This window comes from Homo sapiens, chromosome 15 (assembly GCF_000001405.40).
Source record: "Homo sapiens chromosome 15, GRCh38.p14 Primary Assembly".
NCBI lineage: Eukaryota > Metazoa > Chordata > Mammalia > Primates > Hominidae > Homo > Homo sapiens.
Window position 1 is genome coordinate 43,845,016 of NC_000015.10, and position 25,438 is coordinate 43,870,453.

At 41.6% G+C, this 25,438-nt stretch overlaps 1 protein-coding gene across 2 annotated transcripts in view; it reads left to right on the forward strand.

Annotated features, from left to right (window-relative positions):
- Positions 1 to 23,397, forward strand: part of WDR76 (WD repeat domain 76) — a 41,411-nt gene extending 18,014 nt beyond the window's left edge. For both annotated transcript variants that reach the window (NM_024908.4, NM_001167941.2), the window contains exons 9-13: positions 6,072 to 6,230; positions 11,931 to 12,148; positions 13,656 to 13,808; positions 16,318 to 16,371; positions 21,113 to 23,397. In NM_024908.4, the coding sequence (NP_079184.2) occupies positions 6,072 to 6,230; positions 11,931 to 12,148; positions 13,656 to 13,808; positions 16,318 to 16,371; positions 21,113 to 21,377 (849 nt within the window). In that variant the 3' untranslated portion in view covers positions 21,378 to 23,397. The remainder of the gene's footprint in view (positions 1 to 6,071; positions 6,231 to 11,930; positions 12,149 to 13,655; positions 13,809 to 16,317; positions 16,372 to 21,112) is intronic.
- The last annotated feature ends 2,041 nt before the right edge of the window (positions 23,398 to 25,438 follow it).

Below are 25,438 nucleotides of genomic sequence, written 5' to 3' on the forward strand. Positions count from 1 at the left end.
CAGTGGTGTGATCTCGGCTCACTGCAAGCTCCGCCTCTCAGGTTCACGCCATTCTCTTGCCTCAACCTCCCGAGTAGCTGGGACTACAGGCGCCTGCCACCATGCCTGGCTAATTTTTTCTATTTTTAGTAGAGGTGGGGTTTCCCCATGGTCTTGATCTCCTGACCTCGTGATCTGCCTGCCTTGGCCTCCCAAAGTGCTGGGATTACAGGCATGAGCCACGGCGCCCAGCCCGAAGTTTAGTTTTCTAGTTGTGTTTAAAATATGGTCTGCTATGGTCTGAATGTTTTTGTCTTCCCCAAAATTCATATGTTGAAATACTAATCCCTATGGTATTAGGAGGTAGGACCTTTGGGAGGTGATTAGGTCATGAATAAGATTAGTGCCCTTATAAAAGAAACCCAGGAGAGACCACTGTCCCTTCTACCATATGAGGACACAGCTAGAAGGCACCAACTATGAACCAGAAAGTAGGCCCTTACCAGACACTGAATGAACTGGAAGCTTGATCTTGGTCTTCCTAGTCACCAGGACTGTGAGAAATAAAATGCTGCTGTTGATAAGCCACTCAGTTTATGGTATGTTGTTTTAGCATCCCAAATGGACTAAGAAACAGTTTCTAAGCTGTATCAAAATATCTTCCCAGGGACCTGCTTTGGAATGATTTTAGTTATCTTTGATGAGTCAGAAATAGATACTGAATTCCATTCATTGTGCATATAATTCTGCATGAAATACTGTCTGTTATTACAAAATTGAGAAAAGTCAAGTTAATGTTCTCTGAATTTATTTTCTTATTGGGGAAGAAGACCAAAGACATGAAAAATGCCATAAGGACAATTAATGAAGGTGAAGAAATAGTGGTGACTTGAAGTTGGTTGGGGTTTATAAACAAAATTTGCAAGTTTGAAGACAGAAACCAAGTTCTTATTTTGGGATCATAGATTCTCCCTTATTTTGATAAGATGTGAGTGGGGATAGGAGGTGATAGGATTTAGCAAAGAAAACTGAAGCAAAAAAGTGGGAAGAAGATCAGAATAGTATGTTTTGGAAGCCAAGAGATGAGTTTCAAGGATGGGAGGTTGACAGAGCCTTTTGCAGAGAAGTTAAAAGAATGGAGAAAAGGCCATTGATTTTGAAAATAGGGTACCATGTAGTGAGTTGAGAGAATAGCTTTGACAATGAGGTAAGTAAGGAACAAAGGCTTTAGGAGATTAAGGAAGTATGGGGGTAATGAAAGAACTGGAGAAGCATTGGATAGAGACTTTTTTTTTTTTTTCCCGCCCCTGAGATACGGTCCCACTCTGTTGCCCAGGCTGGAGTGCAGTGGCATGATCATAGCTCACTGCAGCCTCAACTTCCCACGGTCAAGCAATTCTCCACCTCAGCTTCCTGCGTAGCTGGGACTACGGTCATGTGCCACCACACCTGGCTAATTTTTTAACTTTTTGTAGAGATGGGTCTCACTATGTTGCCTAGGCTCATCTCAAACTCCTGAGCTCAAGCACTCCACCTGCTTCAGCCTCCCAAAGTGCTGGGATTACAGGTGTGAGCCACCACACCCATCTGAGACTACTTTTTGAAGAATTTTGCAAAGGAAAAATTGAAAATTAGCATGATTAAATGAAGGTTTTTTTTTGGATGAGTTGATCTGTATAGATTTAAGACATACATAAAAATCCTTTTTTCATATCTTTCATGATGACTCCAAAAATCTGTATTACAGCCGGACGCGGTGGCTCACACCTGTGATCCCAGCACTTTGGGATGCCAAGGTTTGGCGGATCACCTGAGGTCTGGAGTTCAAGACCAGCCTGAACAACATGATGAAATCCCATCTCTACTAAAGATACAAAATTAGCCGGGCATGGTGGCACATGCCTGTAATCCCAGCTACTTGGGAGGCTGAGGCAGGAGATTTGCTTGAACACAGGAGACGGAGGTTGCAGTGAGCCGAGATGGCGCCATTGCACTCCAGCCTGGGAAACAAGAGCAAAACACCACCTCAAAAAAAAAAAAAAAAAAAAAAAATCTGTATTACTAGGTCTCTGTAGTCCAGTATCTCCATCAACCTAATTTTCCAGGACATTTGGCAATCTCATTAACAGATTTAACAAGTCTAAAAGCAATATTACCTTGTCTATCCTGTGCTCACAATTTCCCCAGTTTTTTTAAAAAATGGCTTCATTGAGGTAATAATTTACCTATCATAAAATCCTATTTAAAAAATGTAAAATTCAATGCTTTTTTTTCTTTTTTTTTGAGATGGGAATCTTGCTCTGTCACCCAGGCTGGAGTGCTGTGGTGTGATCCTGGCTCACTGCAATCTCTGCCTCCTGGGTTCAGGTGATTCTCGTGCCTCAGCCTCCTGAGTAGCTGGGATTATAGGCGCTCGCTGCCACACCTGGCTAATTTTTTTTTTTTTGAGACGAGTCTTGCTCTGTTGCCCAGGCTGGCATGCAGTGGCGTGATCTCTGCTCACTGCAGCCTCCGCCTCCTGGGTTCAAGCAGTTCTCTGCCTCAGCCTCCCAAGTGGCTGGGATTACAGGCGTCCGCTACCACACCTGGCTAATTTTTTTGTTTTTTTAGTAGAGATGGGGTTTCACCATCTTGGCCAGGCTGGTCTTGAACTCCTGACCTTGTAATCCACCCGCCTCGGCCTCCCAAAGTGCTGGGTTTACACGAATGAGTCACCGTGCCCAGCCTAATTTTTGTATTTTTTGTAGAGATGAGGCTTCTCCATGTTGGCCAGGCTGATCTGGAACTCCTGACCTCAAGTGATTTTCACCTGCTTCGGCCTCCCAGAGCTGCGATTACAGGCGTGAGCCACTGCACCTGGCCTCAGTGGTTTTTAATAAGTTTACTTAGTTGTTTAATTATCATAGTCTGGTTTTAGAACATTTTCATCATCCCTATAAGATCCCTCATGCTGGCTGGGTGCAGTGGCTCATGCTTGTAATTCCAGGGCTTTGGGAAGTCAAGGCAGGAGGATGGCTTAAGCCCACTAATTTGAGACCTGCCTAGGTGACATAGTGAGATGCCTGTCTCTTAAAAAAAACAAACAAACAAAAAAAAAACTGGATGTAGTGGTGTGTGCCATTAGTCCCAGCTACTCAGGAAGTTGAGCTGGGAATATCACCTGAGCTCAAGGCGGTTGAGGCTGCAGTGAGCCATGATTGTGTCACTGTACTCCAGGCTGGATTGACAGAGTGAGACCCTATCTCAAAAAAAGAAAAAAAATTCACTTACTGCAATAAGAAAGAAGCAGAACCTAATGTAGTATACTTCAAAAACTAGCTACCAAGGAGAGAAACAAATCTGTAGCAGAGCTAGGAGACAGCATAATTTAGCTTCTGCCCTGCCCCGTGTGCAGAATCTATACTGGTAAATTGACCAAATCCTGAGAATTTTCTATATTATCAAAAGTAGAGAGAAGCACATTGGGTATTCCGATTTTTCCTCTTTTCAATGAGGAATGGGGAAATAGTTGCTGGGGTGAAATCAGGAAAAATAGAAGAAGTAGGGACAGTGAGTAGTAGAACTGATTGTCTTCAAAGGAAGTTTTCTTGGCCCACGGGAGTGGTAACACCCTCCACCGCCATACAAGTAGGTGGTATGAATCCTGGTATAAAATAATGAACAAGGCCGGGCGCAGTGGCTCATGCCTGTAATCCCAACACTTTGGGAGGCTGAGGCAGGTGAATCACCTGAGGTCGAGTTCAAGATCAGCCTGACTAACATGGTGAAACCCTGTCTCTACTAAAAATACAAAATTAGCTGGGTATGGTGATGTGCACCTGTAATCCCAGCCACTTGGGAAACTAAGGCAGGAGAATTGCTTGAACCCGGGAGGCAGAGGTTGCAGTGAGCCGGCATTGCACCACTGCACTCCAGCCTGGGCGACAGAGTTGAGACTTTTTTTTTTTTTTTTTTGAGGCCAAAAAAACTGCATTTCAGATTACCTGCTGTCTCAACATGGTGAAACCCCGTCTCCACTAAAAATACAAAAATTAGCCAAGCATGGTGGTGGGTGCCTGTAATCCCAGCGACTCAGGAGGCTGAGACAGGAGAATCGCTTGAACCTGGGAGGTGGAGGTTGCAGTGAGCTGAGATCGTGCCACTGCACTCAAGCCTGGGTGACAGAGTGAGACTTCATCTCAAAAAAAAAAAAAAAAAGACTGTTGGAGGAAGGGTGAGAATAATATTCTCAAATCAATATAAATTATCTAAAATTAACAGTTTAAAAAATAAAAAGCATAATGACTACAATTGCTTTTTGTTTTATACTTTTGCCATTGTAGAAGATAATGTCTCTGTAAATACTTGAAATTCAAAAATTCCTTTAGCTTCATTTTCTTATATTATTTTGACAGATTTATGTGTACCTATACAGATAGAATGATAGCGAAGAAATTTTAAAAAAGGACCATGCTGTATATGCCGTTTTAAATCACATTAAATTTAACTATAAAGATGTCTATAATCTCAGTGTTTCAATGATAATTTTGGTTAATTTTAGATTTGGAATGATTTTTTTTTTTGAGACGGAGTCTCGCTTTGTCGCCCAGGCTGGAGTTCAGTGGTGCAATCTTGGCTCACTGCAACCTCTGCCTCCCCGGTTCAAGCAATTCTCTGCCTCAGCCTCCTGAGTAGCTGGAATTACAGGTGTCTGCCACCACGCCCGGCTAATTTTTGTATTTTTAGTAGAGACGGGGTTTCACCATCTTGGCCAGGCTGGTCTTGAATTCCTGACCTCGTGATCCACCCACCTCAGCCTCCCAAAGTGCTGGGATTACAGGTGAGCCACCGCGCCTGGCCTGGAGTGATTTTTTTAAAACTTCCATCTTTGTACATTTCTGCATTGTTTGAGTTCTTTATACCAAGAGAAAATTTTATTTTTCTAGAAAACAAATGCTATAAACAAATATGTCAGTAGTTTCTAACTCTGGTAACAGGAAGAGTATGTGTGATTATAATAATTTTTTCTCTTATTTTTTCTTTTAAAGAATACTTCTCTCCATTTTAAAATTTAAAATAAAAAAGAAAACAAAAATGCTTGACCATTTCAGAGTAGAGTAAGCCAGATTTAGAGGTGATTCTTTGGTTCATAATATGCCATATGGCATAGAAACATAACTTGTTCTGAAAAGCGACTTCTCAGGAGCTGGCAATCCAGTTGTGGAAAGGATAGTCCTTAGGAGTAGGTATATTAATATGGAAATTCAAATACATGCATTTTTATGGTGTTATTTTTTTATTTTATTTTATTTTATTTTATTTTATTTTATTTTATTTTTTGAGACGGAGTCTTGCTCTGTCACCCAGGCTGGAGTGCAGTGGTGAGATGTCGGCTCACTGCAAGCTCCACCTCCCGGATTCATGCCATTCTCCTGCCTCAGCCTCCCGAGTAGATGGGACTACAGGTGCCGGCCACCACGCCCGGCTAGTTTTTTGTATTTTTAGTAGAGATGGGGTTTCACCATGTTAGCCAGGATGGTCTCGATCTCCTGACCTCGTGATCCGCCCGCCTTGGCCTCCCAAAGTGCTAGGATTACAGGCGTGAGCCACCGCGCCCGGCCATTTTTATGGTGCATTTAGAGGACAAAGTATGTTTAAAACCATTATCTTTGTCCCAGGACCAAATACCTTACGAAAATTACACTGAGAATGAGTAAGTTAATATTATACAGAAGAAGCCTGCTGCAGAAGCAAAGTGGTAAGGTACTGATACTGTTTTAGTTAGCAATTATACCATGTGTGAAATAGAGTAGATTTATCATTTCCTGAGGATTTTATAAACTGACAGTAATATATAAACTATTTTGTTAGTTACAGAAAGCTGGTCACTGTTAATGTGACTTGGTATTGTTGGATTGAAAACTAGAAAAAAGTTAATGACAAGATAAAGTTTCTCATTCTGACTTTGTGAAGGGGAGAGTGGTTACAATTATAGACTAAGAAAAGACTGAATATAATCCAGTGTAAATTCTTTAATGACATAATAGCATAGCAAAAATCACTATTTTTCACTAGTTTTTTTCTCTCTCCCCTTTCCCGCAACTCTCTTCCAGACCCAGCAACCTAAAGAAGATGGAGTTTATGTTTTTCATCCCCATAGTCAGCCAGTTAGCTGTCTTTACTTCTCACCCGCCAATCCGGCCCACATACTGTCACTGAGCTATGATGGCACGTTACGCTGTGGGGATTTTTCCAGGGCTATTTTTGAAGAGGTAAATGTTAATGTGTTTACATGCTGACTTCAGATGATATTCTAGATTCTTCGAAATGCCACATGAATAATTATTATACCAATTGGGAGAAGTGGTATAGCAGAAGGACTTTGAGAACTACGCTGCCTAAGTTCAAATCCCAGATCATCTGTTACTAGTTGTATGACCTTGACAAGTTGCTTAACCTTGTTGTGCCTCACTTTCCTTAGCTGTGAAATGGGATTTAACAGGACTGACCTTACAGGGTTGTCATGAGAATTTAATGAGCTTATGCAGATAAAGTACTTAGAAGAGAGCCTGGCACATAGTATGTGTTTGCGCTTGTTAAATTTCTTTTTTTTTTCTCTCCCAAAGCTTTTAACTAAAATAACTTACTCTTCTGTTTTTAGGCATAAGACTTGTATTTAGCTGGGTGTGGTGGCTCATGCTTGTAATCTCAGCACTTTGGGAAGCCAAGGTGGGAGACTCACTTCAGGCCAGGAGTTCCAGACCAGCCTGGGCAACATGGCGAGACCTTGTCTCTACAGAAAATAAAAAATATTAGCTGAGCTTGGTGGTGTGTGCCTGTAGTCTCAGCTACTCAGGAGGCTGAGGTGGGAGAATCACTTGAGCCCAGGAGTTCAAGATCAGCCTGGGCAACATAGTAAGACCTTGTCTCTAAAAAAAATTAGCTTGGTGTGGTGGCATGTGCCTGTAGTCACAGCTACTCAGGAGGCTGAGGTGTGAGGATTGCTTGAGCCCAGGAGATTGAGGCTGTAGTAAAGCCGTGATCACATACATCATTGCACTTCAGCCTGGGTGACAGAGTGAGACCCTCTCTCAAAATAAGACATCTTCTACTTAATGTTTAAAACAAACATATCATTTGAAATGAACTTTCAGATTTGCTTAACTGTATCAGATTGCCTCAATAAGATAAGTCTTATAAGTTGAACTTTTTTATTTTATTTTTTTTGAGACGGAGTTTTACTCTCGTCACCTAGGCTGGAGTGCAGTGGCGAGATCTCGGCTCACTGCAACTTCTGCCTCCCAGGTTCAAGCAATTCTTCTGCCTCAGCCTCCTGAGTAGCAGGGATTACAGGCACCCATCATCACGCCCGGGTAATTTGTTGTTGTTGTTGTTGTCGTCGTTGTTGTTGTTGTAGAGATGGAGTCTCACTCTGTCGCCCAGGCTGGAGTGCAGTGGTGCGATCTTGGCTCACTGCAAGCTCCGCCTCCCAGGTTCAAGTGATTCTCCTGTCTCAGCCTCCTGAGTAGCTGGGACTACAGGCGCATGCCACCATGCCAAGCTAATTTTTGTATTTTTAGTAGGGACGGGGTTTCACCATGTTGACCAGGCTGGTCTCGAACTCCTGACCTTGTAATCCACCTGCCTCAGCCTCCCAAAGTGCTGGGATTACAGCGTGAGCCACTGTGTGTGGTCAGATTTGCCTCTTCTGGACATTTCATATAAATGAAATCATACAATTTGTGGTCTTTTGTGACTGGTTTCTTTAACAAAATGTATTCAAAGTTCATCCATGTTGTAGCCGTGTATCAGTACTTCATTCCTTTTTATGGCTGCATAATATGCCATTGTATGGGTATTCCACATTTTATTCATCTGTTCATCAGTTGATGAACATTTGTGTTTCTATTCTTTCTTTATATATTTATTTTTGAAACAGAGTCTCGCTCTTGTTGCCCAGGCTGCAGTGCAGCAGTGCAATCTTGGCTCACTGCAACTTCCACCTCCCGGGTTCAAGCAATTCTCCTGCCTCATCCTCCTGAGTAGCTGGGATTACAGGCACGTGCCACCACACCTGGCTAATTTTTGTATTTTTAGTAGAGACAGGGTTTCCCCATGTTGGCCAGGCTGGTCTTGAACTCCTGACCTCAGGTGATCCACCCACCTTGGCCTCCCAAAGTCTTGGGATTACAGGTGTGAGCCACCACGCCTGGCCTTACTTATTTTTATTTTTTGAGATGGGGGTCTCACTCTGTCACTCCAGCTGGAGTGAAGTGGCTTGATCTCGGCTCACCGCAGCCTCTGCCTCCCAGGCTCACGTGATCCTCCCACCTAAGCCTCCTGAGTAGCTGGAACTATAGTCATGTGTCACCATGCTTGGCTAATTTTTGTATTTTTAGTAGAGACGGTGTTTTGCCATGTTGCCCAGGCTGGTCTCAAACTCCTGAGCTCAAGTGATCTGCCCACCTTGGCCTTCCAAAGTGCTGGTATTACAGGCATGAGCCACCGCGCCTGGCTGTAACTTACATTTCAATAAGCTTGACTTTAAAACAATAGGTGGAGAACTCCTATAGCTTAATTAAAAAAGCTAACCCAATTAAAAAATGGGCAAAGGATCTGAATAAACATTTCTTTAAAGAAACACAAATGGCACCGGGTGCGGTGGCTCACCCCTGTAATCCCAGAACTTTGGGAGGCTGAGGCGGGTGGATCACCTGAGGTCAGGAATTTGAGACCAGCCTGGCCAACATGGTGAAACCCCATCTCTACTAAAAATACAAAAATTAGCCAGGCGCGGTGGCAGGCACCTGTAGTCCCAGCTACTGGGGACGCTGAGGCAGGAGAATCGCTTGAACCCGGGAGGTGGAGTTTGCAGTGAGGTGAGATTGCACCACTGCACTCCAGCCTGGGCGACAGAGCGAGACTGTCTCAAAAAAAAAAAACAAAAAAAAACAAAAAAACCCCACAAATGGCAAATAAGCACATGAAAAGATTCTAAGCATCATTATTCATTAGGGAAATGCAAATCACAATGAGATACCCCTTTACACTCACTAGGATAACGATACTTGCCAGTAATAAGTGTTGACAATGATGTGGAAAAATTGAAACCCTCATATTTTGAGAATTGGTATGTGAAATGGTAAAGTTGGTTGGGGAAAGTTTGACAGTTCCTTAAATGTTAAACAGAGTTACCATATGACCTAGCAATATCCCTCCTAGGTATACACCCAAGAGAAATGAAAGCACATGTCCACACAAAAACTTGTACGGGAATGTTCATACAAGCATTATTTGCAATAATACAAAGAATAGGTTGGGCATGGTAGCTCACACCTGTAATCTCAGCACTGACAGAGGCCGAGGAGGGTGGATCACTAGAGCTCAGGAGTTCAAGACCAGCCTGGCCAACATAGTGAAACCGCACCTCTAAAAGAATACAAAAATTAGCTGGGCGTGGTAGCATGCGCCTGTGGTCCCAGCTACTTGGGAGGCCTGAGGCATGAGAATCACTTGAACCTGGAAGGGTGAGGCTCCAGTAAGCCGAGATTGCATCACTGCGCTCCAGTCTGGGTGACAGAGGGAGACTCTCAAAAAAAGTTACATATGGTACAATTTACCACTTTAGGTATATAATTCTCTGAGTTTTGGTGAATTGTGTACACATGTGTAACTATCGTAATCAAGATATAGAGCTGGGCGCAGTGGCTCACGCCTGTAATCCCAGCGCTTTGGGAGGCCGAGGCAGGTGGATCACTTGAGGTGAGGAGTTCGAGACCAGCCTGGCCAACATGGTGAAACCCCATCTCTACTAAAAACACAAAAAATTAGATGGGCATGGTGGCTCACGCCTGTAGTCCCAGCTACTCAGAAGGCTAGGCCACGGAGAATCGCTTGAACCCAGGAGGCAGAGGTTGCAGTGAGCCAAGATTGTGCCATTGTACTCTAGTCTGTGTGACAGAGTGAGACTCCATCTCAAAAAAAAAAAAAAAAGAAATTTTCCATTTCCCTCAAGATTACGTCATGACCTTTTGTAGTCATTCTCCTCCCATTGCCTGCAATCCCTGGCAACTACTGAAGTGATTACTGTCCCCATAGTTTTGCCTTTTTCTGAATGTCAGGCAGTTGGAATTATATGATTTGTAGACTTTTGTTTCTGGCTTTTACCTAGAGTAACAGTTTTAAGATGCGTTCATGCTATTGCATATATTCGTAATTTGTTTCAGATACCACTGACTAAACAGTTACCTTATACTAGGCACTATCTTGAGTGTGCTTTATATACATCATTAAGCCTTATAACACCCTAGAAAATGAGTAATGTTATTGCATTTAACAGGTGAAAAAACTGAGGCAGAGAGGTTTATGAGGTTGCTCAAGGACATAGATGGCAGAACAAGAATTTACACCAGGATTTGTGTGACTCCAAAGCCCCTGCTCTTAATCATTTAAATATATTGAGTATGCCAAGTTTTCATTTGTATATATTGGTCTTTTTGTGGGGTGTGAAGGTTGTGATGCCTTTAGCATATTAATTTATTCTTAGTTTATAACACTTGTTTTTAAAACTAAAAATCAGTTCATGATTCAACAATAAGAATTGTGGTCATCCCCTCTTAATTGACAGGAAGATTTATTTTTTATTCTTTATGTGCATGAGTCCTAAACCCAAAGTGATTGCATTGTAGATTACATGTGATTAAAAACTTAATAACGTGCTCATGATATAGTCGGGCATGGTGGCACGCACCAGTAATCTTAGCTACTTGGGAGGCTGAGGCAGGAGAATCACTTGAAGCCAGGAGGCGGAGATTGCATTGAGCCGAGATCGTGCCACTGTACTCCAGCCTGGGCAACAGAGTGAGACTCTGTCTCAAAAAAAAAAAAAACACGCTCATGATAAAATATTTACAGTAAATCAGATATGAAAGTAAATCTGCCTGTTGTTCATTCCCATTATCACAAGTAACCGTTGTTGCATATCTTGAGTATGCTTCCACAAAGTACACCTATGCTTACAAGCATATAGTTATACATTTTTTTCTCCTCTTCTTTATACTAATGGCTTCATACTAATATACATAGCCTTTTGCAACTCTTTTCACTTAATAGTATATCTTGGACAGTTAATACTATAAAACTACCTTATTCTTTTTAGCATTGCATGGTATTTCAAAATAGAGGTGGATCATCATTTATTTAACCAGATCTCTCTTGGTGGATATTTATGTTGCTTCTTATTGCTATTATAAGCAATCTTGCAGCAGACATTTTTATAGATCTCTTAGTGAAATTACTGGGTCAAAAAGTATAAGCATTAAACATTTTGATAGATGTAGCCTGATTAACTGTCAAAAATGTATATATTTACTCTTCTACTGAGAGTAGGTGAGCATTCAGCTGTGTGTCTTGGACTTGGTTGGCAAAGTTACTTTGCATATTAAAATATAATTTCAATTGGGTAGAATTCACATTCAGTTCTTTTCTGTTAAGTTTCACAGGGTAGATCTGGAACTGAGGTTTATTGGATTGAGAGATTTGGGATGTAGCCCTGACATGGGTAGATGGGCCATTTAATTGTAGACACAGCTGATCAGTGCCTTTGTTTCTTTTTTGTTTTGTTTTGTTTCTTTTTTTTTTTTTTAATTTTCAGTTAGAAGGAATAAGTTCTAATGTTCAGTAGCAGAATAGGGTAACTATAGTTAACAACAGTGTATTGTATATTTTAAAATAGCCAGAAGAGAGGACTTGAAATGTTCCCAACACATAGAAATGATAAATATTGAAGGTAATGGAACCCCAAATACCCTGACTGTGTTTCCATTATGTCCTGTGCATCTGATGGGGATGATGAGAGGATAAATGAGGTTATTTGGGTAAAGTGTTTTATAACCCTTTTACCAAAGAATTTATGCTTTGGCTTTCTTTACAAGAAGAGTGTGATATAAGCTGATTGTTACTTATATTCTTAGGTGTATAGAAATGAAAGAAGTAGCTTTTCCTCCTTCGACTTCTTGGCAGAAGATGCCTCCACTTTAATAGTAGGACACTGGGATGGAAATATGTCACTGGTGGATAGACGGACACCTGGAACTTCTTATGAGAAACTTACCAGTTCTTCTATGGGAAAAATAAGAACTGTTCATGTCCACCCAGTGCATAGACAGTATTTTATCACTGCCGGATTGAGGTATGGTCTTTATAAGACTTTATGACTTAGACCTTTTAATGTCACAATTACATGGTTTAGTTTGGTTGTCAAAGATATTGTAATACAATATTACAAAAGGTATTACTTTTGTAATACCCAAAGGCCAAGTAATTTTCCTTTCTATACTGATTGAGACTTGAGTGATTTTTTTTGAAAATGAAAAATTCTTTTAGATTTGATAAATAGTGAAAAAGCTGAAAGAAATTTTTGTTTTCCTTGGCATTATATGCATTCGCCTCTTATGAGAAGAAAATTTAAATTTCACAGAAAAAAAAGTTACATGTGACCTATAACTTGTTGGCCTGTGTTAACTTTTTTCTAGGAAGGATTGAAAAACCAACTAGAAACTTGACAGCTGGGCGTGGTGGCTCATGCCTGTAATCCCAGCCCTTTGGGAGGCTGAGGCAGGCAGATCACTTGAGGTCAGGAGTTCGAGACCAGCCTGGCCAATATGGTGAGACCCTGTCTCTACTAAAAATACAAAAACTAACCAGGTGTGGTGGCATGCACCTGTAATCCCAGGTACTTGGGAGGCTGAGGCACAGAATCACTTGAACACAGGAGGCGGAAGTTGCAGTGAGCCAAGATTGCACCATTGCATTCCAGCCTGGATGACAGAGCGAGACTCTTGTCTCCAAAAAAAAAAAAAAAAAAAAAAAAGTCTTTCTGTACACACTGGATCCAAGTATCTGCTATAGTTTTGAGATGTGTCTAGTATTGTACTTGTTATCTATACCAGTTTTGGGGAAATTAATAAGAGTATTAGAGGGTTCTGTCTTTTTTTTTTTTTTTTTTTTTGAGATGGAATCTTACTCTCAGCTCACTGCAACCTCCGCCTCCCAGGTTCAAGCGATTCTTCTGCTTCAGCCTCCTGAGTAGCTGGGATTATAGGCGTGCACTACCATACCTAGCTAATGTTTGTATTTTTAGTAGAGACAGGGTCTCACTGTCTTGGCCAGGCTGGTCTTGAACTCCTGACCCTGTGATCCACCCGCCTTGGCCTCCCAAAGTGCTGGGATTACAGGCGTGAGCCACCATGCCTGGCCTTAGAGAGTTCTGTTTTTTTTTTTTGTTTGTTTGTTTGTTTGAAATGGAGTTTTGCTCTTGTTGCCCAGGCTGGAGTGCAATGGCGCGATCTCGGCTCACTGCAACCTCCGCCTCCCAGGTTCAAGCAATTCTCCTGCCTCAGCCTCCCAAGTAGCTGGGATTACAGGCATGCACCACCACATTAATCTTGTATTTTTAGTAGAGACGGGGTTTCTCCATGTTGAGGCTGGTTTCGAACTCCTGATCTCAGATGATCCACCTGCCTCCACCTCCCAAAGTGCTGGGATTACAGACTTGAGCCACCGCACCTGGCTGAGAGTTCTGTCTTAAATGTTCTTCAGTATAGCAAGTATGTGAGTGTCTAACTTATGTTTAGCCCTGTTGTAGAGGTTCATTACATGTACTATGGCAACATTGATCATTGTTTCTCCCATTACAGGGATACTCATATTTATGATGCAAGGCGATTGAATTCCAGGAGAAGTCAGCCTTTGATTTCTTTGACTGAACATACAAAGAGCATTGCTTCCGCCTATTTTTCACCTCTTACTGGTAACAGAGTGGTGACCACATGTGCTGATTGTAATCTGAGGTAAATTGGGAAGGCAGAAATGTTTTTAGGGAATCTAAAGAGTCTATAGCTACTGTGTCAGTAAACCAAAAGCTTTGTTTACTGCTGTTCCCTATTAAATTGCTAGTGTTATTGTTTAGTAGTCATATGTAGGTTCCTAAAGACTGGTGACCTGTATTTAATGGCTTTTCAGCGGTTTTTGGGTCCTGGAAATTTCCTTGAGACTGGCAAAGGTCCGTAGGTACCCTGGGGGGTTTATGGTCTGGCTTCCCTTTAAGCACTGAAGAATCCCAGAAACCAGGCTGTGTAGTATCCTGAAAAGGAGATAATTTTAGCATACTTTGGGGTCAGTGGGATCTATTCTGCAAGTGAAGTGCTGAATGGAAATTGCAGAGCCCCAGACCATGGGCAGACAGAAAAGAGCAAAAACTGGGATTCTATACAAACTATTGGATATGGTTTTATAGTTCTAGGGTTTTAGCTTTAGTACCTTCCTATAGCTACTTCCTAAAAATGGATTTAAAGTGTAATATAAACCAATCGAACAAAAAACAGAAAACAGTGTCAATAAAGATGTCGGGAACATTAGTGTAATCACAAAGGAAAATTATTTTGTTCTCTTTTAGAATCCCTGATTTTGCTTAAAATTTCAAGCATTTTCAGTTTATGAGAGTTTTACCTTAAGTGATTTTGGAATTCATATATTATTCAGTTGAATGTATACTGTTCACCAGGCTCCAGAATGGCACCCAGTTTCTGTTTAAACCCACCTGATGGGAAGAGCGTGGTCTGCAGTGTGTGACAGGTGTCTAGTTAGTTTCTAGCAAAGTCTGTGAGTATTAACCAGGTGTTGTAGGAAGAGAGTCACCCGGGAATGGTAGGCCAGGATCCCGTTTCCACTCATGTAGTTTCCTTTGTCTCAAAAGCTGCTTATTCTGTTCCTGTTCGTTTACACTGCAGTTTACTCTTGTTACATTAACTATTAGTGGTTTGGCTTTCTACTAATCTATTTAGGCAATAAACTCTAGTGCCAGCAAACCACACTAGAAAAGCTAGGCACAAGGAGAAGAGAAGGAGGTGGTGATGCTGTTAGTTTCCTTCTGCTGTAGTGCTCAGTGGAGGCTTCTAGACTCCTCTCCAACTGCTGTATAAAAATTCCTCTCTTTGGCCAGGTGCAGTGGCTTAGGCCTATAATCCCAGCATTTCGGGAGGCTGAGGTGGGAGGATCACTTGAGCCCAGGAGTTCGAGACCAGCCTGGGCACCAAGGAGAGACCCTGTCTCTACAGAAAAAATTAGCCAGATATGGTAGTGTGTACTTGTAGTCCCAGCTACTTGGGAGGCTGAGGCGGGAGGATCACTTGAGCCTAGGAGGTTGAGGCTTTAGTGAGCTGTGACGGTGCCATTGCACTTCAGCCTGGGCATCAGAATGAGACGTTGTCTCTTGAAAACCAAAACACAACTCCTCTCCTTTGTTGCTGGTTGGTCTTAGTCTGGAAATGACACTATCAGGCCTTCAGCTGATGAGTCTCAGGGAAACTGCTCTTGATACACAGATGTACTTTTAGGTGATTTGTACATTTTCAGGCCACATCCTTTATGTCCCATATTTTTGTGAATTTTGTATATAGTTTTACAGTTCAGATGATCGCTTTAGAATGGGCATTTTATTTCTATTCATTTATCATTATTGATGTTTTTTTAGAGACAGTATCTCTTTGTTGCCCAGGCTGGAGTGCAGTGGCATGATCATGGCTCACTACAACCCTGACGTGCTGGGCTCCAGCCAACTTACGGGCTCTAGCAATCTTACGGCCTCAGCTTCCCAAGTAGCTGGGTCTAGAGGCATGTGCCACCATACCTAGCTATTTTTTTTTAAATTTTTTTTTGTAGTGATAGGGTCTCACTATATTGCCCAGGCTGGTCTCAAACTCCTGGCTTCAAGTGATCCTCCCACCTTGGCCTCAAAGTGCTGAGATTACAGGCATGAGCCACAACACTCAGCCAAATGATTTCTACGCTAAACTATAAGCACTGACTTATTTTATAAAACGTCTTGTAACTTTTGTTTAGTATCTTGACCAAGATTTGTTAGCGCCTGATCTTACTCTTTTTTTTTTTTTTTTTTTTTTTTTTGTAGACAAGGTTCTCGCTCTGTTGCTCAGGCTGGAGTGCAGTAGAGTGATCATAGCTTAGTGTAATCTCAAACTCCTGGGCTCAAGTGATCTTCTCACCTCAGCCTCCTGAGTAGCTCGGACTACAGGCATGTGCCCCATGCCCAGCTAATTTTTAAATTTTTTGTACAGATGGGTCTCACTGTATTGCCCAGGTTGGTCTCAAACTCTTGGCCTCAGGTGATCCTCCTGTGGATTACAGGCATGGGCCTCTAAACCCGGCCTGATCCTACATATTTTTAAGTGACAGTTATATATTTCATACCATGAATTAATGAGAAGCTTGTTAAATACACTGATATTTATTTCAGAAAGTTTTTAAGTAACAAAAGAATGTCTTACTCTCTTTATTTTGCAGAATTTTTGACAGCAGCTGTATATCTTCTAAGATTCCGCTCCTCACCACCATCAGGTAGGCTTCTATATGCCAAATAATGTAGATGTGGATTACTATGAACTATTTGTTGCAGTGCATACATTAGACATCTGATTGTCAAAGAGATGTAATAGTCCTGATTTTTGAATACAAAAATTATAAGTGTCCCAGTTTGCTAGTTCCTATCCAGAAGGGTTCTTGCTTCCAGGTTCCCTGTGTCTGTAGAGGTTCAGTCTCTTGTAGTCAGTAGCTGTTCTCTGCAGGTGGGAGGTTATTTTTGGTTAAGGTTAATGACTTTATTCTGAACTGAATTACTCATGTTATCTTATTAAAGAAGACTGTAACTACTCACTTGCTGATGAGGCTGTCTGAAGGTCTGTTTATTTGTGTCTGTTTATTCTGGGCCTTGAGGGCTTCCCCATCTTCCCACTTCATTTCTTTGATTATACTCTTGCATCAACTACTTTGAATGTATTTGTGTATTTTTTTTTTTTTTTTTTTTTTGAGATGGAGTGTCACTCTGTTGCCTAGGCTGGAGTGCAGTGGCGTGATCTCTGCTCACTGCAATCTTCACCTCTTAGGTTCAAGCTATTCTCCTGCCTCAGCCTCCTGAGTAGCTGGGATTACAGGCATGCACCACTATGCCCAGCTAATTTTTTGTATCTTTAGTAGCGACGGGGTTTCATCATGTTGGTCAGGCTGGTCTCGAACTCCTGATCTTGTGATCCACCCGCCTCGGCCTCCCAAAGTGCTGGGATTACAGGCGTAAGCCACGGCGCCTGGCCTTGTATGTGTGTATTTTACATCAAACTTTACTCAATGCCTTCTCCTTGATATTCCTCTTTGTCACTATTTATGAAGTTGCGAATAGTGTGTGATATACATTGATTGTTGCTTCATACATTTTGTTCCATTTTATCAGTTTCTTTTTTTTTTTTTTTTTTTTTCAGGTCCACAATTTTTTTTTTTTTTTAATTTTTTTTTAAAGATAGAGTCTCACTTTGTAGCCCAGGCTGGAGTGCAGTGGCATGATCTTGGCTCACTGCAGCCTCCGCCTCCTGGGTGCAAGCAATTCTCCTGCCTCAGCCTCCCAAGAAGCTGGGATTACAGGTGCACGCCACCCTGCCTGGCTAATTTCTGTTTTTTTTTTTGTTTTTTGTTTTTTTGTTTTTTTTTGAGACAGAGTCTCACTCTGTTGTCCAGGCTGGAGTGCAGGCTCGCGATCTCGGCTCACTACAAGCTCCACCTCCCTGGTTCATGCCATTCTCCTGCCTCAGCCTCCTGAGTAGCTGGGACTACAGGCGCCTGCCACCATGCCCGGCGAATTTTTTGTATTTTTAGTAGAGATGGGGTTTCACTGTGTTAGCCAGGATGGTCTCCATCTCCTGACCTCGTGACCCACCTGCCTCGGCCTCCCAAAGTGCTGGGATTACAGGCGTGAGCCACCACACCCAGCCTAATTTCTGTATTTTTAGTAGAGATGAGGTTTCTCCACATTGGTTAGGCTGGTCTCTAACTTTTGACCTCAAGCGGCCACCCACCTTGGCCTCCCAAAGTGCTGGGATTACAAGTGTGAGCCACTGTGCCCAGCCTATTTTATTTAGAGACAGAGTCTCGCTCTGTTGTCCAGGCTGGAGTGCACTGGCACGATCTCGGCTCACTGCAGCCTCCGCCTCCTGGGTTCAGGCGATTCTCCTGCCTCAACCTCTTGAGTAGCTGGGACTACAGGCATGCACCACTATGCCCCACTAATTTTTGTATTTTTTTTAGTAGAGACAGGGTTTCCCATGTTGGCCAGGCTGGTTTTGAACTTCTGGCCTCAAGTGATCCGCTTGCCTTGGCCTCCTAAAGTGCTGAGATTACAGACATGAGCCACTGCATCCAGTCTTATTTTTTAATTGACTAATAAAATTGTGTGTATTTATCATGTACAACATGTTTTGAAATATATACATTGTGGAATGGCTAAATCAAGCTAATTAACATATGTATTACCTCACGTACTTACCATTTTTTTGTGATGAGAACACTTAAAATCTGTCAGCAATCTTCAAGAATATAATATATTGTTATTGACTATAGTCATCCTGATGTACAATAGACCTCTTGAATGTATTTCTCCTATTAACTGAAATTTAATAGTTTTTGACCAACATCTCCCCAAACCTTTCCCTCTCTGCCCAGCAGTTTGTTAACTACTCTCTTTTTTAAAAAAAAAAAAAAAAAAGAAACAGGGTCTCGCTCCCTTGCCCAGTATGGAGTGTGGTGGCATGATCATGGCTCACTTCAGCCTCAATCTCCTGGACTTGAGCAGTCCTCTTGCCTCAGCCTCCCAAGTAGATGGGACTTCAGACACACAGAACCATGCCCTGCTAGTTAAAAAAATTATTTGTAGAGATGAGGACTTGCTGTTGCCCAGGCTGGTCTGGAAGTCCTGGCCTCAGCCGATCCTCCCACGTGGGCCTCCCGAAGTGTTGGCATTACAGGCATGAGCCATCATGCCCGGCCTTACAACTTTGTTATTTTTTATTTATTATTATTTTTTAGACTAGTCAAGTGTAGTAGTGAGAAGGTGGGAAAGAGTAGAACAAAGAGTTTTATCTGTAACTGACTGTGAACAATCAATTAAGATAAGTTACTACCTTTGAACCAGCCTCAGCTTTTTAATATTCCCCATATGAGTGAGGTCATGTGGTATATGTCTTTCTGTACCTGGCTTGTTTTACTTAACATAATGTCTCCAGGTTCATCCACGACAGGATTTTCTTGTTTTAAGTGAAATAGTATTCCGTTATGTGTATATACTACGTTTTCTTTATTCATTTATCCATTGATTTGTTGATTCCATATCTTAGATGTGACAGTGAATGTGGGAGTACAGGTATCTCATAGATAGTTCATTTCCTTTGGATATATTCTCAGTAGTGGGATTGCTGGATCATATGGTAGTGCCATTGTTACTTTTTTGAGGAACCTCATACTGTTTTCCATTATGGCTGCACCAATTTACATTTCCACCAACAATGTACAAGGGGTCCTTCTTCTCCATATCTTTACCAATACTTGCTATCTTTTGCTGTTTTCATAATGGCCATTCTACTAGATGTAAGGTGATATCTCATTGTGGTTTTACCTTGCATTTCACTGATTAGTGATACTGAACGTATTTTCATATAATTGGCCATTTGTATATCGTCTTTTGAGAAGTGTGTATTCAGATCTTTTGCCCATTTTTTAATTATTTGTTTTCTTTTTTTTTTTTAAACGGAGTCTTGCTCTTGTTGCCCAAGCTGGAGTGCAGTGGCATGATCTGGGCTCACTGCAACCTCCGCCTCCTGGGTTCAAGCAGTTCTCGTGCCTCAGCCTCCTGAGTAGCTGGATTACAGGCATGAGCCACAATGCCTGGCTAACTTTCCTATTTTTAGTGGAGATGGGATTTCACCATGTTGGTCAGGCTGGTCTTGAACTCCTGACCTCAGATGATCCACCTTCCTCAGCCCCGCAAAGTGCTGGGATTATAGGCATGAGCCACTGTGCCCAGCCAGTATTATGTATATTTATTTTATTTTTTAATTTTTAATTTTAATTTTTTGAAATGGAGTCTCCCTCTGACACGGGGGCTGGAGTGCAGTGGCGCGATCTCAGCTCGCTGCAACCTCCACCTCCCGGGTTCAAGCAATTCTGCCTCAGCCTCCCCAGTAGCTGGGATTACAGGCAAGCACCACCATGCCTGGCTAATTTTTGTATTTTTATTTTTTTTTTTGAGACAGAATCTCACTCTGTTGCCCAGGCTGGAATGCAGTGGTGCAATCTCGGCTCACTGTAGCCTCCATCTCCTGGGTTCAAGCAATTCTCCTGCCTCAGCCTCCCCAGTAGCTGGGATTACAGGCAAGCACCACCATGCCTGGCTACTTTTTGTATTTTTATTTTTATTTTTTTTGAGACAGAGTCTCACTCTGTTGCCCAGGCTGGAATGCAGTGGTGCAATCTTGGCTCACTGTAGCCTCCATCTCCTGGGTTCAAGTGATTCTCCGGCCTCAGCCTCCCTAGGAGCTGGGATTACAGGCACCCGCCACCATGGCCAGCTAATTTTCCTATTTTTAGTAGAGACGGGGTTTCACCATGTTGGCCAGGCTGTCTCGAACTCCTGACCTTGAATGATCCACCCTCTTGGCCTCCCAAAGTGCTGGGATTACAGGTGTGAGCCACTGTACCTGGCCAATTTTTGTGTTTTTAGTAGACTGGGTTTCGCCGTGTTGGACAGGCTGGTCTCGAACTCCTGACCTCAGGTGTTCCACCTGCCTCGGCCTCCCAAAGTGCTGGGATGACAGGCTTGGGCCACTGTGCCTGGCCATATTATGTATATTTTTAAAAAATTTATGTAGGGTGACTATTCTAGGGGGTAAGAATTTTCATTAATGATGGGGTCATTTAAGTGGCAGTGGGAAATGTGTAGTCCATACTTTAATGAAAAAGGATTGTTAGTGATATTAAGGCAAAAAGACTAAAAGGGCAGTACTTCTGTTTTTGCTTTTGGGAACTATAAAGGGCTCCATATGTTTTATTTTGGGAGATTTTTAGATGAGGAGGATATCGTCTCTGTCCAGAGGTTCAGTCCTGTAAGGATGAGGTAAGGTTGGTGGTAACTCAGTAACTTAATGAGAAGAAACTTGGCAGAGAAAACTAGCATTTAGGAGCAATGCCGTCTTTACCCTCTGCCCAATGCTACCTTATTTAACCTTACTTCATTTAAAAAATATATTGTTTTCCTCACTAGGCACAACACTTTCACTGGGCGATGGCTGACCAGGTTCCAAGCCATGTGGGATCCTAAACAAGAAGACTGTGTCATAGTTGGCAGCATGGCCCATCCACGACGGGTAGAAATCTTCCATGAGACAGGAAAGAGGGTGCATTCGTTTGGTGGAGAATACCTTGTCTCTGTGTGTTCCATCAATGCCATGCACCCAACTCGGTATATTTTGGCTGGAGGTAATTCCAGCGGGAAGATACATGTTTTTATGAATGAAAAAAGCTGCTGAGTTTTTGGTTTAGGAACATCAATTTGTTCAAATTGACCACTGTCTAAGGAGCCTAGTAATCGGCGTGCCTTAGTGTGTTTATGTGGTAATGTGTTACATTTAGCAATTATAACATTGTTTTATTAATAAGACTATAAGAAGAGTGTACTTTTAGTAAGGGAGAAGTCTTGGAGGGTTGCTTCTGCAGGACGGGGAGGGAATTTGAGGGGAGGCTGAGGTGCCGTCAGGACTTTTTTTTTTTTTTTTTTTTTGAGATGGAGTTTTGCTCTTGTTGCCCAGGCTGGAGTGCAATAGCGCGATCTTGGCTCACCGCAACCTCCGCCTCCCAGGTTCAAGCGATTCTCCTGCCTCAGACTCCTAAGTAGCTGGGATTACAGGCACCTGCCACCACGCCTGGCTATTTTTTTGTATTTTTAGTAGAGATGGGGTTTCATCATGTTGGCCAGGCTGGTCTCGAGCTCCTGACCTCAGGTGATCTGCCCGCCTCGGCCTCCAAAAGTGCTGGAATTACAGGCGTGAGCCACCATGCCTGGCCATCAGAACTTGTAATCAAGACAGTATGTTGAGAAATTCTAACATTATAAATTACAAAGCTTTGACTATTAAAGTTTTTGTGATCTAATGATACAGTTTTGATTCTATAGTAATTTGTGGCTTATTTTATAGTTTATAATGAATACTTATTTCTAGACTCATACACTGGAAGGGGACCCGGAAAGGTAATGTAACTCAGTGATTTTAAAACTTGATTTTTTTAACTGAGAACTTTTTTTGCCCCCTGCCTGTAGGTTAAGTCTTACGTGAAATGCCAAGATAATTGCTGAGCAGCTTTGGTTACCCAGGGCGGGGTCTGGGTCTGTCTGTACTTTGCCTTTACTCTAGATGGCTCCTGAGACACAGGCAGGACTCCCAAGCACCGGGTTGGGATCTGCCCTGGTCCCGGCATTCCAGTATAAGATTGCCTCAGACCTGTGTTTTTCAGACTGGGTTTTTGCTCTTCACATGAAATCAAGTTAGATGACAATGACTGGTGTTGAAAAAAATGAAAAGGAAAGAATTTGTAAAGAACAGAAAATATATTTGAGTAAGTATTGTTTGGTAAAACTTAGTTACATATGCATATATATTTGTTAGGTATATATGTTTATGTGTATTCTGATGTAAAATATATATATATATATATTTTATTACTATAGTACCATGGGTAATGGATAAAGAAGTTAAAGCTACTGCTTAGAATGAAGAAGGCCCCAGGCTTACCTGTCCCGATCTTTAAACTGTCCGAAGGAAATTCAATAGCCTGTTAAGTGAATACCTTCATTCTTACTTGTATTTGGGGGAATATTATGAAATACTCACCACTTTTGGTATTTTATGAAAATGTTTTCTTTTCAGAAGTTATGGTAATTTCAATGTGTTTGTTGTTGGGAGGGGAGCTGCCAAATCAGTTACTAATATTACTGTGTGACATCTATCCAACTTTTTTCATTATTCTTCATTGCCAAATACTGAAAGACTTGTAAATGGCTTTGGCAATATGTTTGAATTCTAAGAGGAAATATTTTCCCATAATTGTATATCAGAGAAATATAGTGATATACAATTTCCTTGAAAACCAATTTCTAAATAATTTTCTTCTCTGTAATCTAAGTGTAAAAAGGTTTAGTTTTTTAATAGGTTTAGGTGTTTATAAGCAATAGTTCTCTATTTTCTAGTTGATATAAGTAGAAGAATTGACAAGTGAGATGGAAATGTTAATTTATAAAGGGAAAGAAAAGCTAGGTGAGGTTGAGTTATAATTAAACTGTTCAGGAAACATCGTAAAGGCTTTAGGCTCCCTTTTTCATTTCTATACCAATTAATCTCATGGGTTCTAGAGTGGTTAGTTCTACGGGAATTGTTTTTGTTTTTGTTTTTAAAGATGCTGAAAACTACTCTCAATCAAATTAGTACCATCATTTAAGCTTTGAATACTTGGCAGTAATTGCCTGGGCTCGTCAATAAATGTTAGCAAATTCTTGATGTTCCTCACTTTTGTGGTTTCTTTTGCCATTGTGGCTTCATAAACAGTGCTATTTATATTCAGTTATACTTTATAGAGTTATATCTTCAGGCAGTGCAGGAAGGAAGGAGAATGAGTAGGGACTTTTTTTTTTTTTTATTGGTGATAAGCTTTCTAATGGAGTAATTGTTTAAATCTAGACAGCACATAAAAGAAAATTGTCTCCCTTGGGACATTCTTACACTGTAATCTGTAGTGAAAGGTACTTCTCCCACAGACTTGCCTACAGCTGTGTGGCTTCTGTAATTATGTGTGTATTATGATTGCCTCCTTCGGGATAAGCCTTTTCTGTAAGTTTGGCCTTTATGATATCTCTTAAGCTCTGAATTCCGCTTGAGTTTTTTTTTTTTTTTTTTTTTAAGATACCCAGGCTTTTGTTATGTAACTTTTAAGGAAGGAGCAGACAATTCTCATTTTTGGTTGTCAGAGACTTTGTCAGACTAGGAGAGACCACAAATGATTAGGAATTAATAGAATCTGAGTTGCTTAAGTCCTATTTTAGTATTCTGGTCTTTGAGCTTCCTTTCCACCAAGAAGATTTTGCAAGGGGAGTTCTCCAGGAAAACAGGGAGCCTTAGGGCTATGGATACAAGGATTTAAATCCTTTCAGCTAATGTACAGTACATGGGGTAGGGTGGGGGAGAAGACACACATGCCTTCTGAATCAATCTGAGAAGAGGAAATATATGCCCTCTAACTTCAGATTCCAAAAACTTCAATGTCCTATTGGGCGGTCCTTTCTGACTTAGTACATTTCCCCCTGCTTTTTAGTAGGGTGTTGATGGCTAGAAATAACAAGACAGCAGATTGTATTTTGACTTATTTGGCTGTAAATACTTGGATTTTCAAATGAAAAGGTAGAATTTATGAGGAAGATAACATTTAGTACACTTACACGGAGCTGAAGAACAAAACATTTTATGATACATTTTCCCCAAAATGGAAACTGGGCAAGAGGAAATTTATTAAAAGGGTGCTTTGCTTGTTTTACTCCATTCCATCAGCAGGTCGTAGGGGTCTGAAGAGGAAGCCTGTTCATGAGCTAAAACCAAAAGTGTGTTCAGGTGCAGAGGAGCTAGATTGTGCTAGAGGAACCCAAAGCAGAGGGAGTAGGGACTAGAGTCCTACAGGGGTGTGTGCACAGGTAGTTCTTGATAAGCTGTCAGCAGAAGGGAGGCTGCTGTGAATCGGCAGGGCCACGGGAAGCCACCCAGGTCCAGTGTTTCTTGTGCTTTTTACTCTTTGGATCACTTCAAGCAAAATCTTATGTCATAAAAACAAAAAATTCCGCTGGGGATAGGGTGCTAGATAGCATTTTTTAGGTAGTGGGTACCTCTGAAATTTGGAGGTAACATAGCCTGATTGGTGTTTAGGAGGATGATCTGGCAACAGAAATGGGAGAGTGGAGGGCAGGCAGAATTGAAAAGACAAAGATTAGGTAAGAAGCTAGCACAGTGGACCAAGCCCCCATTATCACCTCTTATCCTCATGGAATTTAGAAGACCATTTCCAATTCCGTAGCCACAGAGTGATGGTTACATAATCAGATGAGATAATGCTATAGGGATATATTTTGTAAATATGTGGTGGTGGTATCATTGTAGTTCCTTCTTAGAAAGTATTTTCTGTGCTCCCACTTACTCCAGGCTTGAGTAAGAACAGCAGACCAGAAGGTGGACAATCTGGGTTCTAGTTTGGACTCTACCACTATGTAATCTTGGGAAAATCACTTAGTCTTCTTGGTTTTCCTCATCAGAAAAATACCCAATTCACTTTAAAATTATTACATATATAGCTTCTCAGTTTTTTTTTTTTTTTTTTTTTTTGATGTGGAGTCTTGCTCTGTCACCCAGGCTGGAGTGTAGTGGTGTGATCTCAGCTCACTGCAACCTCCGCCTCCCAGGTTCAAGCGATTCTCCTACCTTAGCCTCCTGAGTAGCTGGAATTATAGGCGCCCGCCACCACACCTGGCTAATTTTTGTATTTTTAGTAGAGACGG